The 16190-nt window shown below is 49.4% G+C and overlaps 1 long non-coding RNA gene and 1 pseudogene across 1 annotated transcript; both read left to right on the top strand.

The window, feature by feature from the left end:
* Positions 1160–1265, top strand: RNA5SP470 (RNA, 5S ribosomal pseudogene 470; annotated as a pseudogene).
* Positions 2045–13445, top strand: LINC01532 (long intergenic non-protein coding RNA 1532). Its single transcript, NR_040036.1, has 5 exons — positions 2045–2113; positions 3092–3230; positions 3664–3742; positions 10221–10436; positions 12001–13445. It is a non-coding gene; the product is annotated as a long intergenic non-protein coding RNA 1532 (long non-coding RNA).
* Positions 13446–16190: the final 2745 nt, after the last annotated feature.

The raw sequence follows: 16190 nt of genomic DNA on the forward strand, positions 1-16190 counted from the left end.
TCTTCAGGGGCTGGAGCTCTGAAAGAGCAGAAGGTGGGCATGGAGGAGGTGACCTCCCCCCATAAGCTGCCTTCTATGTCTCTGTCCTGGGACACCCCAAGGGGCAGGGGAACCCCGAGCTGAGAGGGTGACACACAGAAGGCTAAGTTGTCTCCTGCAAAATGCTTCCCCGGGCCCAGCTCTTCCCCTGGTTTTCTGCACCCTGCAATGAGTCCACAATTAGGTTAATGAGTAAATTGGATTCGGAAGCCTGGAAAAATGATATCCTGGACCACCCTGCTCTAAGCAAGAGCTGTTTATCAATGCCAGTGGGGTACACACATCCTCCATTCAATTCTCTGTTCATAAGTTTTCATTTTATTTTTTACTTTCAATTACGGAAATTTTCAAACACTCCCCAAAGTAGAGAAAATAATATAATGAATCCTCATTTTTAACAATTACGTGTTTCTGTCATTCTTCTCTCAGCTGCCCCATACACATACATTTTTAAGGCAAATTCCCAACATCGTGTCATTTCACTCCTAAATACATCCTTGTGGTGCCCCAGCCATCTTTGGTGCATGGTCGGGGAGGCGGGGAGAGGGGTGGGGGAGGTGGGGAGAGGGGTGAGGGAGGCGGGGAGAGGGGTGGGGGAATTCCACTTCAAAGACATGGGTGACCGGTCCTGGAATGGAACCAGAGTCCAGGGCCTCCAGAACTGCTCTTTACAAACATCCCATAATGCACCTGGAGTGCAGGGAGTTAGGAGTAGATGTGGGAGGAATCTACCTTGGAATCTTATCTTGGAATCTAACGCCAGCATGGAGGACATCACCCAGCCCTGGAAATATCCGGGTGTCTGGAGATGCATCCACGCCAGGACCCATGAGCAAGGGAGAGAATGCGACCAACTCCTGGGACTCTAGGGCAGCAGTCTTGGGGAAGTGTGGCATCCTCACTGTGAGAGAGAGAGAGCTGGAGGCAGCCACCAGCTCCCCCTCCCTGCCCTCCTCTGCCAAAGGAAGGCCCTGCTATTTCAACACAAGCGGCTTGCAGGAGGAGCCTGTTAAGAGGACGGCTGGTCCACTGAAAAAGCGGCAGCAGCTTCAGAAAGGTTAAAATGTGACTCCCCTGCCCCTGACAAAAAAACTGTTTTCAATTCAGAAAACAAGGTGTCTATGGCCATATTACCATGGACGTGCCTGGTGTCATCTGATCTCAGAAGCTAAACAGGCTCTGGATTGATCAATACTTGGATGGAAGAAAACAAAGTGTGCCCATTTTACAGATAAGAAAGACAAGCCTCAGAGAAATAAAAAATTTATCAGCCACCGGGTGACAGAGGCGGCTCTAATCCAGTGATTCCTTCCCTCCTTCCTCATCTTGTCTTCCTGGTTCAAGGTTAGCTCCCAGAGCTCATTCCCGGGAGGAAACAGTTCTGGGTGACTGATTCACTGATCAGCTTGGTTTGGGTTTCATAAAACGCTGTGCTGGAACACTGAGTCGGTACTTCTCCCAAGTTTCCAGTTCGGAGACACGAGGAGAATGCTAAAAGCTCGAATATGCAAATGAACATTTGGACAGATTTCCTCTAGAGTTTCGGCCTCCAGGCAAATGATTTATTCCCTGCAGAAATGCATTTTTGTTTCTGCTTAACGGGTGAAAAAGGAGAAAAGATTTTTCGGGACAACCAAGCTTAGGAATAAAAGTCTCCATGGGAAATGTACTTTTCTGAAAGCAAATGTTGGCTAAACAAGGACAGTGTTGACTAAACACGTGTTCCCCTCACCCAAAGGAATGGAGTCAGAGAATCCCCCAAGCTCCAAATTGTGGGGGCAGATGGATCTTTTAGAAGTTCACGGTTCGCCTTTCTCCTGCCCAGCCCCATGCCTTAAGCAAAGTGTGGGATGGTCTCGGGAGGACACCCACAAATGTAAGTAGGAAGGTGGGAAGCAGCCTCTCCTCTAATATAGAAAAACAACTGTGACAGACAGAACAAAGCATGTGGTTCAGACACGAGACCCTGAGCTAGCCCTGGGGAGGGAGACAGCAGCTTTGCAGCCGTTATCCTCAGGAAGCCCTGAGCGCTGAGAGGCACTGTTACAGAACCGAACTGGGGTCCACTCGCTAGGTGAGTAAAACCCGACAGCCACACCGAGTTTTCACAGCAATAAAAAGGAAAGTGTTTATTTGCAGGGCACCAAGCAAGGAGGATCTGGAAGCTACTGCTCAGCTCCTGACCTCCCACATGGCTTGAGGGTGAAGGTGTTTAAAGGTAGGGGTAGGCTGGGTGCAGTGGCTCACATCTGTAATCCCAGCAATTTGGGAGGCTGAGGCAGGCAGATCACTGGAGGTTGGGAGTTCAAGCCAGCCTGGCCAACATGGTGAAACCTTGTCTCTACTAAAAATACAAAAATTAGCCAGGTGTGGTGGCACACGCCTGTAGTCCCAGCTACTTGGGAGGCTGAAGTGGGAGAATTGCTTGAATCTGGGAGGCAAAGGTTGCAGTGAGCCGAGGTCACACCACTGCCCTGCAGCCTGAGAGACAGAGCAAGACTGAAAATAAATAAATAAATAAATAAATAAATAAATAAATAAATATATATATATATATATATATATATAGGGGTAAACTTCAGAAGAGCAGAAGCCACAGGCAAAATCAGAAATCAATATATGGAGGGTACACACTGATTTTGGCCTAAAAGGGTGGGGGCATCTTTAAAGGGGAGGAGCTTACAGGTCATAGGTAGATTCAAAGATTTTCTGATTTGCAATTAGTTAAGGAAGAGAAGCTTTGTTTAAAAATTGGGGGTCAGCAGAAAAACATGTTAACTGGCTAGGGGACAGGGTGACTCCCACCAAGCCTCTCAGGAATAAACTTAAAACAAAGAACAGTGTGGTCAGAGTTCTGCCTGCAATTCCCCCTTATCCGAGGTCTACCTGTCAGCGAATCCCACCGGGGTCTGCAGTGGGGTCTGGGTGTGTGAAAGAACTCAGGGACATATGTTGAGATGTTATCTTTCATTTCTGTAGAGAAACCAAAAATCTCTGGACTTATTTCCTTGGCTTTAGGTGACGATTGCTTTCTTGCTTACTTACTTTTCAGGCCTACCTAGGTGCCTGGAATTTCCCTTCGAGGAACGCAGGAGTTTTCTTTATTTTCATGCTTGGGAAGGCTCATTAGGCCCCTAAGAGAGGGTCCCTTCCCCATCTCAGGACTAAAATGCAATGAAGATGTTGCTCAGGTATGCTCGGGGAAGACAGGCTGGGAGGGCTGGGGCCACCTTTAAGGAGAATTCCTAACACACTGGGCGCCCGAACCCCTGATGGGACCTTGTGGTCTTGAATGAAAAGATCAGGCATTAGCTCTGTGTGCCCACTGACTTTTACTAAACAGGCTGCTGCCCAGCCTAGTTCAACGTGACCCCATCCCCACCCCCTTTCTCTGTGCTCCCCCATCACCCAGCCCACATGGTGGGACCTTCACTCTCATGACCAGCTCAGGCCATGCTGTGCACTCCTGATGAAGCCTCTTGAGCTCCTTCTTCAGAGCTGCTGATAATCTGGCATTGAATGGCCAGGCTGGAGGTTGAATGCTGAATCCTTTTGAATGCTGTGGTAAAGCCTGGCATGTCTCAGCACTGTCTCCTTTTGTGTTCAATCATCCTGACACTGCAGAGGCAGCTGGAGAGGGATGGGTCTGTGGAGGATGCCCCGCAGAGTGAAGTCGAGATGATGCAGCCACCAGGGCCGGAGGGTGAGTTTCCTAGTCCTTGTGTGTAACTGGGTCACTATTTTTAGTTGGAACCTCCAGTCAAAAATGTCAAACAGGGAAAATGAATGTGGGCTTGGCTGAGAAGAAGCCAGAGGTGAAGGTTTTGTTCCATCTCACTTAGCAGCTCACTCTGGGACTTGGAAAAGGCCTTTTCTCAGTTCTGGGCCCAGGCTTTCCCACTTGAACAGCTGACATTCTGTGGATCAGAGACCACCACTACCGCAGGGAAAAGGGACTTAGCCGTAGGAAGCCAGCAGCCTGCTGGAAAGTTCTTGCAGATGTCTGTAATGCTGAGGTTTGCACTCAGCTCTCCCGCTCTTGCCTGCGAAAGTCAGAAAATGTGGCCAGGTGCAGTGGCTTACATCTGTAATCCCAGCATTTTGGGAAGCCAAGATGGGAGAATCACTTGAGCCCAGCAGTTCAAGACCAGCCTGAGCAACATAGCAAGACCCCATCTCTAGTGCCTGTGGGCCTAGCTACTCGGGAGGCTGAGGCAGGAGGATCGCTTGAGCCCAGGAGTTCAGAGATTGCAGTGAGTCACGATGACACTACTGCACTCCAGCCTGGGCAACAGAATGAAATTCTGTCTCTAAAATATAAAATGAATAAAAAATTTAAAAATTCAAGAAGCAGAAAAGGGAAATGTTTAGCAGGGTCACAGGTGCCACAGATTTCAGCATGCTGCGGAGGAGCCCCACCTGCCACCGCCCCATCAGCCAGGCCCGCCGGCCCATCCCCGCAGCCTCAGGACCCCCAAATCTAGAGATCCCCAGGCCATGGAAGATGCATGGGACTCAGGACTGGAAGAGAGATCAGCAAGGCAACTTCCTCATCTCCTGGCTAACTGATGGAGCTATTGATGGAAAAATCAAACTCCGTAAGGTATTTTTCAGAGGTTTATTCTGAGCCAGTATGAGTGACCATGGCCCCGGAAATGCAGTCTTAAGAGGCCCTGAGAGAGTGCGTCCGGGACAGTTGGATTACGGCTTAGTTTTGTACATTTCAGGCAGGCAGGAGTTGCGAGTGAAGACATGAATTAATACATGGAAGGTGTATTTTGGATCAGCCCCAAAAGGTGGAATATCTTGAAGCAGGGACTTATAGATCATCAGTGGACCTAGAGATTCTTTAATTTGCAACTGATTAAAGGAGTAGAGCTTTGTCTAAAAATTTGGAGTTAGCAGAAAAGAATGTTTTAAGTTAAGGAAGTTTGTTAACCAAACTACTGGGTCAGAGTGACCTGTAGGGGTGCATGACTTACCCCTTGTCTGGCACGGCCTTAGGTCCTGTTTATAATTGGTATCCTATTGTCGCAAAGGGTCTGCTCTGTCAGTCTTCTGATCTCTATTTTAGCATGAATGCCAAGCAGTGGTTTTGTCTAAACTCCAAAAGGGAGGGAGTGTAACGAGGCGTGTCTGGCCTCCCTTCCTGTCATGGTCAGACACTCATTTTCTAAGATTTTTCTGGGGTCCCCTAGGCCAAGAAGAGGTACTCAGCTGGTAGGGGCTTAGGATTTTATTTTCAGTTTACAGAGAGTTATTGATAGAAATGCCTCCATGACTCTGATGGCTTGAACGAGAATTCTCTCTCTTTCAGTCTCTTTCTCAACACTCAAGGTAGAATTCTCATAAAATACATATGATGCTGCCAGGCGTGGTGGCTCACGCCTGTAATCCCAGCACTTTGGGAGGCCAAGGAGGGTGGATCACCTGAGGTCGGGAGTTCGAGACTAGCCAGACCAACATGGAGAAACCCTGTCTTTACTAAAAATACAAAAATTAGCCGGGCATGGTGCTGCATGCCTGTAATCCCAGCTACTTGGGAGGCTGAGGCAGGCGAATCGCTTGAACCCAGGAGGCAGAGGTTGTGGCGAGCCGAGATTGGGCCGTTACACTCCAGCCTGGGCAACAAGAGTGAAACTCTATCAAAAACAAACAAACAAACAAACAAACAAACAAAAAATGAAAAACACCATATGATGCAATACCTAGATATGTTCTGAACTTCATACTTATTAATTCTCATGTATAACATATGCTCCAGGCGGTAGCAAGAATGTCAGCTCAGGACAGCCTGGTCCTCACTCATCTGCAATGAAAGACTCTCATTCGTGGTGCTGGGGGAAGGATTTAACTGTAGAATGTTGAATGATCATGTGAATAAATTACATAGAGACCCAGAATACGTTATATGATGATCAGCCAACTTAATCAAGGATGTTCTGTCCATGAGTAAAGTATTTGGAATTTGTAGTATTAAGAAGGGAGGGAAGTCCATGAGATGTGGCTGCAGTGAAGTGCTATATCATGTCCCTGGTTCTGCTTGTAACTGTGAAAGCTGCTGCTTTTTTTTTTTTTTTTAACTTGCCTCCACAGAGAAAGTGAAAGCTCACTTGAGCATGAACATAGCTCACAGTAGCCTCTAACTCCTGGGCTCAAGTAATCCTTCCACCTCAGCCTCCACAGCAGCTAGAACTATAGGTTTGTGCCACCATACCCAGCTAATTATTTTATTTTATTTTTTGTTGAGATGGGGCCTTGCCATGTTGCCCAGGCTGGTCTGGAACTTCTGGCCTCAAGCTATCCTCCTCCCGCCCTGGCCACTCACCGTGCTGAGATTATGGGCATGAGCCACAGTACCTACTCAAAAGCTTCTTAAATCAGATCTGGGCTGGAACTGGACTCCAAAATGTGGGAACTAACACATGTTTTATCAGGCTGCCAGCTGAGGGGACTTTGCTGAATTTGTGGTCTCAAGACCCTGGGAGTGACAGCTCTCCTCCCTTCCCGCCCCCCACACACCAGACACACACACACACGCACACAGACACACACACACACACACACACACACACACACACACAGAGTCACCAGTCAGGTATGCAGAGATGAGAAATGAGCTGAAGATCCCACCTGCTGAGGTCCTGAGACTCCTGGCCACACAGAACAATAGCTCCTATTCCCTGAGCACCTACTATGTGCCACACACAGCTCTAGGTGGCTTTGTAAAATGGCCCGTTGGTCAAATTTACATAACAGGGATGTAGCACCTTCCCGCAGCTCATTTTCTAGAGAGGATGCCCCTCTTCCAGCCTGAGGAGCCGCTGTCAATGCCAGGGAGCTCTCCTCTAGTTGTAACCAAGTGGACGCTCATTCAGCCTGGGCCACTTACATTCTCTTTCTGGGGGATGGGGAACTGGGCTCAGAAATACATAGAGGCCATTGAGAGGCAGGCCCCAGCCACCCAAGCCTGGGCTGGTACTTGCAGATGGGAGCTCCAGGTTTCCTACCTACAGAGAGAGGAAAATGAACCAGCAAATGTACAGAGAGGATAAGGAATAGAGGAGGGTGCGGGATGGAGCTGTTGATCACCAAAGCTCCAGACAGATTCCAGCCCTCAGCTCCCAGCCTTCCTGAGAACCCACCTTCCCGTAGCTGCACTGACTCCATGGATGTTCTATTGTACTGGGTGCTGCTGGGGGCCAGGCCTTGTGGCCTTGTTCCAGGGCCCAGTGTGCAGTACTCCCTGTCCAGGGCACTTCCACTCTAATGGGCTCTGTGAGGCACGTCCATTCTTTTAAATAAATCTTTGTTTACTGGAGTGAGCCCAAGTAGATTTCTATTTCCTGCACCCAAGAGATGTGTCATGAGGACCAGGTTGGTATGGATTTTCTCAGTCTACAGAAGATGACTGGGAGGCTCCGAAGAGGCGAGAAGTGGCCCAAGGTCACCCAGACGCAGAGCTGGACATTTTATTTTTATTTTTATTTGTTTTTTTATGAACAAGGTCTCACTCTGTCGCCCAGGCTGGAGTGCAGTGGTGTGATCATGGCTCAATGCAGCCTCTACCTCCTGGGTTCAAGCGATCCTCCCACCTCAGTCTCCCTTGCAGCTGGGATCACAGGTGTGCGCCACTGTACTCAGCTAATTAAAAAAAAAAAATTATAGAAACAGGGTCTCACTTTGTTGCCCAGGCTGGAGTGCAGTGGTTCGATGGTGGCTCACTACAGCCTCAATCTCCTGAGCTCAAGCCATCCTCCTGCCTCAGCCTCCTGAAAAGCTGAGAATACGGGCACTCACCAACATGCCCAATTTGTTTTAATTTTTCTACAGGCAAGGTCTCTCTATGTTGCCCAGGCTGATCTTCAACTCCTAGGCTTAAGCGATTCTCCCACCTTGGCCTCCCAGAGTGCTGGGATTACAGGTGTGAGCCCTGGCACCTGGCTTTGAGCTGGATTTTGAAAGCAGCACATCATCTTGAAGCACACTCACTTCCCACAGGGCTGTCATTGCCTCGCAGGGGCTAAAAGAGTTCATTCTGCCAAAAGAGTTCGGGGCCCTGCACCCAGGGTAACCCCTGGGGTCAATAGCAGAAACCCCAAAGGGTGCTGGGAAAGCTCTGCTCATAGCAACACACCCTCCAGGGTGTTTTGAATGCTATATGATGTTGATTCCCACCACAGCCCTGCTGGAGCCACAGCACAGGTGTTACTTCGCTTTTACAGTTGGAGAAACCCTGAGCTTGGAGCAGCCAAGGGGCCTGGTGCAGGAGGGGCAGGACTCCACCCAAGACTCCTGACCTCTGCTCTTTTCACCGCCCAGCAATACTTTAAATCTGCACCTACCTTTTACATCATCTCCTCTGATCCCTTCCCTCCTTGGGCTGTTTGCTATTTCTTCTTGGCCCAGTCTCCTCTACAAATTTGCCACCCAACTTCTCAAATATTTTTCACCCCTTCCCAGTGAAGCCCCCATCTCCCCTAAAGTCAGCCTCCCCTTGTCTTCCTCACACACTCTCTTGAAACACACCACAAACCAACCACTGTGTTCTCCCCTCCCCTAAACCACTCTATCCAGGTGCATGGTACCCCATCAGTATCACCGTCTCCACCTAATGGCCAGGAGAAACCTGAAGTCAGCAGTGGCTTCAGTCTCTTTCTCTTTCTACGTCATTCACAACATGTCAGCATCACTGGCGAAGTTTCTGTCCAATCCAACCACTTCCATTGCTTCAATGTATCTCTGTCCTGTCTCAACTGGATGGCTGCAGTGGCCTCCGGAGAGGTCTTTCTGCTTCCTCCATTGTGGCTGAGTCTATTCTGTAAACAGCAGCCAGGGGCATCCCCGTGCATCCTTTGGATAAAAGCCAGGCTGGCACCAGGTGCAGTGGAATCCCCAGGGTGATGTTCTCCCAAGACCAGCACAGGAGTGTCGGGAAAGCCTCATGCTAAAATGCTGATTCCCGGCCCTGAGCCCATCCCTGCAAGTCAGAGTGGCTTAGGATGGGGTGGGAATTGCTGTTTAAGAAGGTCCCAGCTGATTTTTCCGCACGCCAAATGTTGAGGGCCATGGAGGATTCTGACAGGCGAGGAGGAAGGGCTTTGGAAGGAAGGAGCCCTCGGTCCCTGCAGCCACTGAACAAAGTCAGAATCTAAGCTCCTGGGCTGGGGCTGAGAAGCAGCTGAGGGTCAGGAGCCCAGCATCGAACATCCGGCCCTACTACTGCCTGGACGTGCAGGCTCCAGCTGAAGGACTCTCTTCGAGAAACCCATGTTCCAAGTCACAAAACGAGATACTGACATCTGCCTGGCAGGGCTGCCGTGTGGATTAATACCTTTGCAGTTTACCCAGTACTTAGCACAGGTGCTAAATGCCTCACAAATGTGGGCATTATGGTAATTAGTGATGTGTCTTCCCGAAAACATCAGTGATTTTCTGGTTGATGGATTTACATAACTTGAAGGCCAGTGGGGCTTCCCTGTGGAATGTGCCTCGGATTCCCAAGGAACATTATTCTCTGTTACCCTCTCCTTACACACACACCCCTAACACACATATGTACACATGTACCTGCACACATACACCCGCCTAACTCACATATGCACCTAGCACACATAGACACATGCACATTCACACATATACCCACCTAACACACACCTAACACAAATATATACACATACACACGCCCACCTAACTCACACACACCTAACACACATATACACGTGCGCCCTCACACATACACCTGCCTAATTCACATGCACACTATTGGCACACATATATACACATATACCTGCACATACACACCCATCTAACTTACACATACACCTAGCACACACACATAGACACTCACACACCCCTCGATACACACCTATCCACGAGCCCCATCTCAGTCCCTGCGAGGCTCCTGCTGCGCCCAGCACCGTGTGTGGTAGGGAAGGACTTGGCAGGGGTCTGGAGTGGGAGGCGCTGGCCCGTGGTCTGGATGCCCAAGGCTGGCGCTCTGCTTCCCTCTCTTTAACTCCTCAGGGACTAGGAAATCCTTCCTTTCCCTTTCTGGGGTTTCCTAAGTGCTGTGAGTGGTGCTACCTACTTAGGAATCAGTTGATTTCATTCTTCTGACAATAGTTTGCTCCAGGTCAGTTTGGGACTGCAAATAAAAGATTTTCTTTATTTTTTGGCAGGGAGGGACATTCCACTTTTTAAATCAGCTTTCTGAAGCATGATCTCCATATAATCACCTAGAAGCGTACAGCACAATGATCTTGACAGATGCCAGCATCCTTGGAACCACTGCCACCACCAACGTCTCAAACCATTCCATCAAACCCAGAACACTCCTGGTGCCCTGAAGCGTCTCCCTTCAGTGGCAGAACCAGCAGAGATTCAGTGGTCACAAGGTGAGTGAGGCGGCCTGGGTCTGGCTCCTGGCCATTAATTTTAAATAATTTGCATTTAACTTTGAACCACCACACCTGGCCATATTGGATAGTGCAGGAGGAATAAACTCACTGGCACATCCTTCTGGGGCGTCTACTGTGTGCCCCCCTCCAAGCGGAGTGTGTGGGAACAGAGAGCAGCATCCCTGCCACAGTGGGTGGCGGTCTGCTTGAGAGATATTTTATTTTCTTGAAACAAATAAAAAAGACAAAAGGATGCATGGTGTAAACACTGGTGGTCAGGCTAAAATCAAAAAACCATTAGTGGGCAACACAGCACAGAGTGGGCTCTGCCCAGGCCACATGTGTGCAGTGCCAGGGCTCGGCTTCAGACCCAGATGTCCACACCCAGCCCTGCCTATTACACAAAGGCGGACAGAGCTGTGGGCCAGCGGCTGGCAAAAGGCCTTGGGGCAACCAGAACTCTCCATCAGGGCATTGCAGCCTTTAAGAGAAGGTGGGAACTGCTGCATTTGCCCCGCCCTGGATCTCAGCCCAGGAAACCCACTGTCACAGAACAACAGTCTTAGGAGCTTTCTTATCGAGACAGTAGGAAGCTTTTAAACACATCAGTGGTGAACGCCAGGCGGGTCTCTGGAACTTTTTCATCTTGGAAAACTGAAACTCTCTACTCATTGAACACTGTACACTTGATTGAGAGCAAATTGTATGTGTTTTTGCCAGCCTCTTCCTGAAGGCGGACATTTGTCTTGATCTGTATTGGAATTCTTTATCTATGTTTAAATTTTGTATGAGATTGAATTCATGTGTATGTGAACTGAAATGAAATTAAAATGTCAAACTACAAAAAGGGGGATATTTTTATTTAAAAAGACAACAGTCATCCCATAATCATACCTTGTGCCCCCCTAGGCTGGCATGAGGCAATCCACTATTTGTAAGCATAGACTTGGGGTCAAGGTCCGCATTCCACCTCTTCTTTAACTTCTCTCTAACTCAGTTTCCTCATAGAAAAATAAAAGCCCTGACTTCATAGGACCATGGTGATGATTTACTCAGTAAGGTACTCAGCACAACATCTGATGCAGAGTAAAAATTAATGCATGTCTAATGTTTACTATATTCCAGCCACAATGTTAAGCTCTTCATACAAACATCAACCCTCCAAGGTGGATGTGATTATTAGTCCTACTCTCAGGATGAGAAAACTAAGGCATATGACTAAATTGCATGGTGCTAATAAGTAATTGCACCGGGATTAACACTCAGGCACTCTGATTCCAGTGCTGTGTTTTTAACCATTAGAGTTAAGTGCCTGTATTTGTTTCCTAGGTCTGTGTAACAGGAATTATTTATTTATTTATTTGAGTAAGGGTCTCACTTTTTTGCCCAGGTGGGAGAGCAGTTGTGTTATCCCAGCTCATGACAGCCTCAAACTCCTGGGCTCAACCAGTCCTTCTGCCTCAGCCTCCCAAGTAATTGGGATTACAGGGATGCGCCAGCACACCTGGCTTTTTTTTTTTTCCAATTATTTGTAAAAATGATATCTTGCTTTTTTGTGCAGGCTGGTCTGGAACTCCTGGGTGCAAGCGATCCTTCCACCTCGGCCTCCCAAAGTGCTGGGATTAGAGGCATAAGCCACCGCGCCCAGCCAGGAATGGATTTTCTCACAGTTCTCGATGGCGGAAGTCTGAGATCAAGGTCTTGGCAGGGCTAGGTCTCTCTGAGGCCTTTCTCCCCAGCTTATAGGTCGCCGCCTCCTCTCTCTGTCTTTCCTTGTCTTCCTTGTGTCCACAGTTGTGTCCAAATTCCCCTTTCTCATAAGGACGTCAGTCATGTTGGATTAGGGCCCTCCCTCCTGACCTTGTTTTAGCTTAATCTCTGCAACTTAACCCTTAACCTCAGTAAAGATCCTATTTCCAAATGTGTTCACATTCTGAGGTCCTGAGGATTAGGACTTTGAAAGGATTAAAACAGGCTCTTCTGGCATATTGACAATTTCAGCTAAAGACTCTTGAGAAACAGCAGGTGCAAAAAGATCACAGTGACCTCCATGCTGTACCTTGAGATGAAATTCCAATGCGAAAGATGCCCTCTCCACCCTAGAAGGGAAAGCAACATCCTTATCTTTGGGAGTGAAAAGTCCAAACTGAGAGCATACTGTGAGTACCTCATTAGCATCATTCCATTCTCTGAGCTTCCCCGCAGACTTCAGTTGCTTCTTCACAGCTCTGCTCTTTGTCCCGTCCAATCTCTGAGTAACTAACTCACTGCTTCTGCAGGTCTTCATTTCTGCAGGAGGGCTCCCATGCTACATAAATCCTGCATTACACTTTTCTCCTGTTAGTCTATGTTATGTCCATTTAATTCTCAGGCCCAGCCGGGACCCTAAGAGGACAGAGGTGGAGTTTTTCCACCCCTACAACTTTACCCAATCACAATTCAATCCTAACAGTGCCTTTCTCTGGAGGGGCTCTGCCAGCATGAATTCCTTTACGGGTGGAAGCCTCACAGTCCAGTCTACCAGTGAGGTCCACATGGGATTGGCTGGAGGGAGCTACGAAGTCAAGCGGCGTCAGGTACAGAGAAACAAATCCCACATCCAAGGGCCAGGAGGCGGTAGAGCAAACCACGCACAGCCGGGTGACTTAAGGGCAAGGAAGTCTTCCTGCAGGAGGTGAATTTGGCACAAGGGATACGTTTTTAGGCCCTGAGTGGAGGATCTGGGTTTCAAACTGGACTTTTGAAAAACACACTCTTATTGTAGAAGGGCCTGCGGGTTTGTTTTAATCACTTCTCAAAGCTACGCTAGGCATTCGCAGCTCAGGATCCCCAGTTTAGCCTAATAAAAAAAAGTAATTACATCATATTACAGATAATTTGATTGTGTCTGAGACGATAATTGAGTTAAAACGCTTATTGTAACAGACACATCAGATTGGCAAGGAGGAAGCTCGGCTTAAATACAAACAGTGTTGAGAGTGGAATTAAAGGATTGCCATTGCAGTTAATCCAATAGTAATTATTTTCTGAACATAAATTCCTGAGTAGTGAGGACACAATTATATCTACAAACAGTCATAAGAAAATAATTACTCCACGTTCCACCTGAAGCAACAGTCCATAAAAGCTCTGGTGCCGCTCTCCAGGAAGCCGGGCTCTTTCCATCAGAAACTCACGGCCGATGCCAGTACTGAGAAAAGGGCTCCCAAGCACTGCGGGACTCACCAGGCAGCTTATGACAGGCTTTCCAAGTGTGATTGCTCTGCCCGCGTGACACCCAGGCCCACCGTGTATATGACCACCCCAACAGGCCGACACTTAAGACACCCCAGAGGATGAACACGCACGTCTTTCGTTCACAGACTGCAGTCTCCAGCCTCACCCCCTGGGCCACCCACCCTCCCCCGCTGGACTGACAGCCTTCCCGTACCATCCAGAGGCCATGGCCTACTTTGTCAACCCTCCCTTGTGAAGATCCTCATCTTCCTGCCATGCCTGCCCAGCCAGACTCTAGCCCTGCATCAGCCAGACCCACTGGTAGATGTCGGGGCGATCTCACACTCGGTCCTGGAGCTGCCCAGGAACCTCACTGTCCTCCTGTAATCTCCCTCGCTCTCCTTGGCCACTTGCTCACCTGGTGAGCTTTCCCCTCTCCAAAGCGACTCCACCTCCTACTCCAGATCCTCTCCATCCCAATCCACAGAGGGCATGGGATAAAGGAGAAGCCCCAGACAGGAACTTCTTCAACTTCTGCCTCTGGCCCTCAAAGACGCCTGCAAACAGTGTCACCTGTAAAGCTCTTCTGCTTGGGTTTTGTCCTAAGGAGATGCCTGTTCTCCTCCTCACTCAGGCTGGCTCCTCACAGTCTCCAATCCTGTCCCATCCTGACTCCTTTGCAAGCCTCCTATGTGGGCTTCGGTGCCCCCCACCTCGAAAGCTTATTCCCTCAACTCCACGGGCACCTCAGTCAAACTTCCGGAAGATCTCCCTCCTTGCTCAGGGCAGCCTCTTTGCACCCTAGCCTCTGTCTCAGCATCTGCTAGCATCGCTCTCGCAGCAGGAGCCGCCCTGCTCTGCTCACCAAGATGCTGCCAGTGTAGCTGGGCCGGAGCTCTGCACCGCGCTGGAGTCCCGCTCTCCCCAGAGCCCCGGCCCTGCTGTGTGCTGCTCCTCCGTTTCTCTGCAACTCCCTCCTGGGCCTCTGAGGTTCTTTCTTGTGGCTGCTCCATAAAACTTGGTGATGGCCAGTGTTCCACTTCTACCCCAGCCTCTTTGCTGCCACCTTATGGTATTCTCCCTGGTGATCAAATCCTCCCTGAGGTTTAAAATACACTGATGCCCCCAGTTCTGTATCTCCAGGCTGAATCTGCATCCTGAGCTCAGCTTGTCTGAATGCTGTGCCCACTGTGTTCTCTCCTGCGGGCTTGCTCTCTAGCTTTCTCTCTCTCTCCCTCTCTCTCTCACCCTCTCCCTCTCTCTCTTTCCTTCTCTCTCTCTCCCTCTCTCTCTTCTCTCTCTCCTCCTCTCCCTCTCTCTCTTCTCTCTCTTTCTTTCTCTCCCCTCCTTCTCTCTCTCTCTCCCTCTCTGTCTCTCCCCTCTCCCTCTCTCCCTCTCTCCCTCTCCTCCTCTCTTTTTCTGCCTCCTCTTTATCTCTCTCTCCCTCTCCTCCTCTCTCTCTGTCTCTCCCTCTTTCTCTCCCTCTCTCTCTCCTTTTCTCTCTTCCCCCCTCCCTCTCTCTCCCTCTCTTCCACTCTCTCTCCTTCTCTCTCCCCCTCTCCCTCCCTCTCTCTCCCCCCTCTCTCCCTCTCTCTCTCCTTCTCTCTCTTCTTCTTTCTCTCCTCCTCTCCCTCTCTCTCTGTTCTCTCTCTTTCTTTCTCTCCCCTCCTTCTCCCTCTCTCTCCCTCTCTGTCTCTCCCCTCTCCCTCTCTCCCTCTCTCTCCTCCTCTCTTTTTCTGCCTCCTCCTCTTTATCTCCCTCTCTCTCTCCTCCTCTCTCTCTGTCTCTCCCTCTTTCTCTCCCTTTCTCTCTCTCCCTCTCCTTCTCTCTTCCTCTCTCTTGCTGTCTCTCTCCCTCTCTCTTTCACTTTCTATCTCCCTCCCTCTCTTTCCTCCTCTCTTCTGTCTCTCCCTCTTTCTCTCCCTCTCTCTCTCTCTCCCTTTCTCTCTTCCCCCTCTCTCCTTCTCTTTCCCTCTCTCTCTCCCTCTCTGTCTCCTTTTCTTTCTTCCCCCCTCCCTCTCTCCCCCTCTCCCTCTTTCTCCCTCTCTTCCCTTCTCTCTCCTTCTCTCTCTTTCCTTCTCTCTCCCTCTGTTTCTCCTCTCCTCCTCCCTGTCCTTCTCTCTCCTCTCTCTCTCCTCTTCCTCTCTCTCTCCTCTTCTCTTTTTCTCTCCCACTTTCTCTCTCTCTTCCTCTTTCTCTCTCCTTCTCTCTCTCTTTCCATCTCTCTTCCTTTCTCTCTCTCTCCCTCTCTCTCCTCCTTTCTCTCTCTCCCCTATCTCTCCCTTTTTCTCTCTCTCTCCCTCTCTTTCCCTTTCTCTCCCTCTGTCTCTCCTCTCCCCCTCTCCCTCTCTCTCTCCCCTGCTCTTCTTCTCTCTCCTCGCTCTCCTCCTCTTTCTCTCTCTCCCCATCTCTTTCCCTCTTTCTCGCCTCTCCTTCTCTCTTTCTGTCCCTCTCTTTCTCCCTTTCTCCTCCTCTTCCTCTCTCTCCCTCTCTTTTCCTCTCTGTCTCTCCTTCTCTCTCTCCCTTTCTTTCCCT

The sequence above is a fragment of the Homo sapiens genome, chromosome 19, assembly GCF_000001405.40.
Source record: "Homo sapiens chromosome 19, GRCh38.p14 Primary Assembly".
Lineage (NCBI taxonomy): Eukaryota > Metazoa > Chordata > Mammalia > Primates > Hominidae > Homo > Homo sapiens.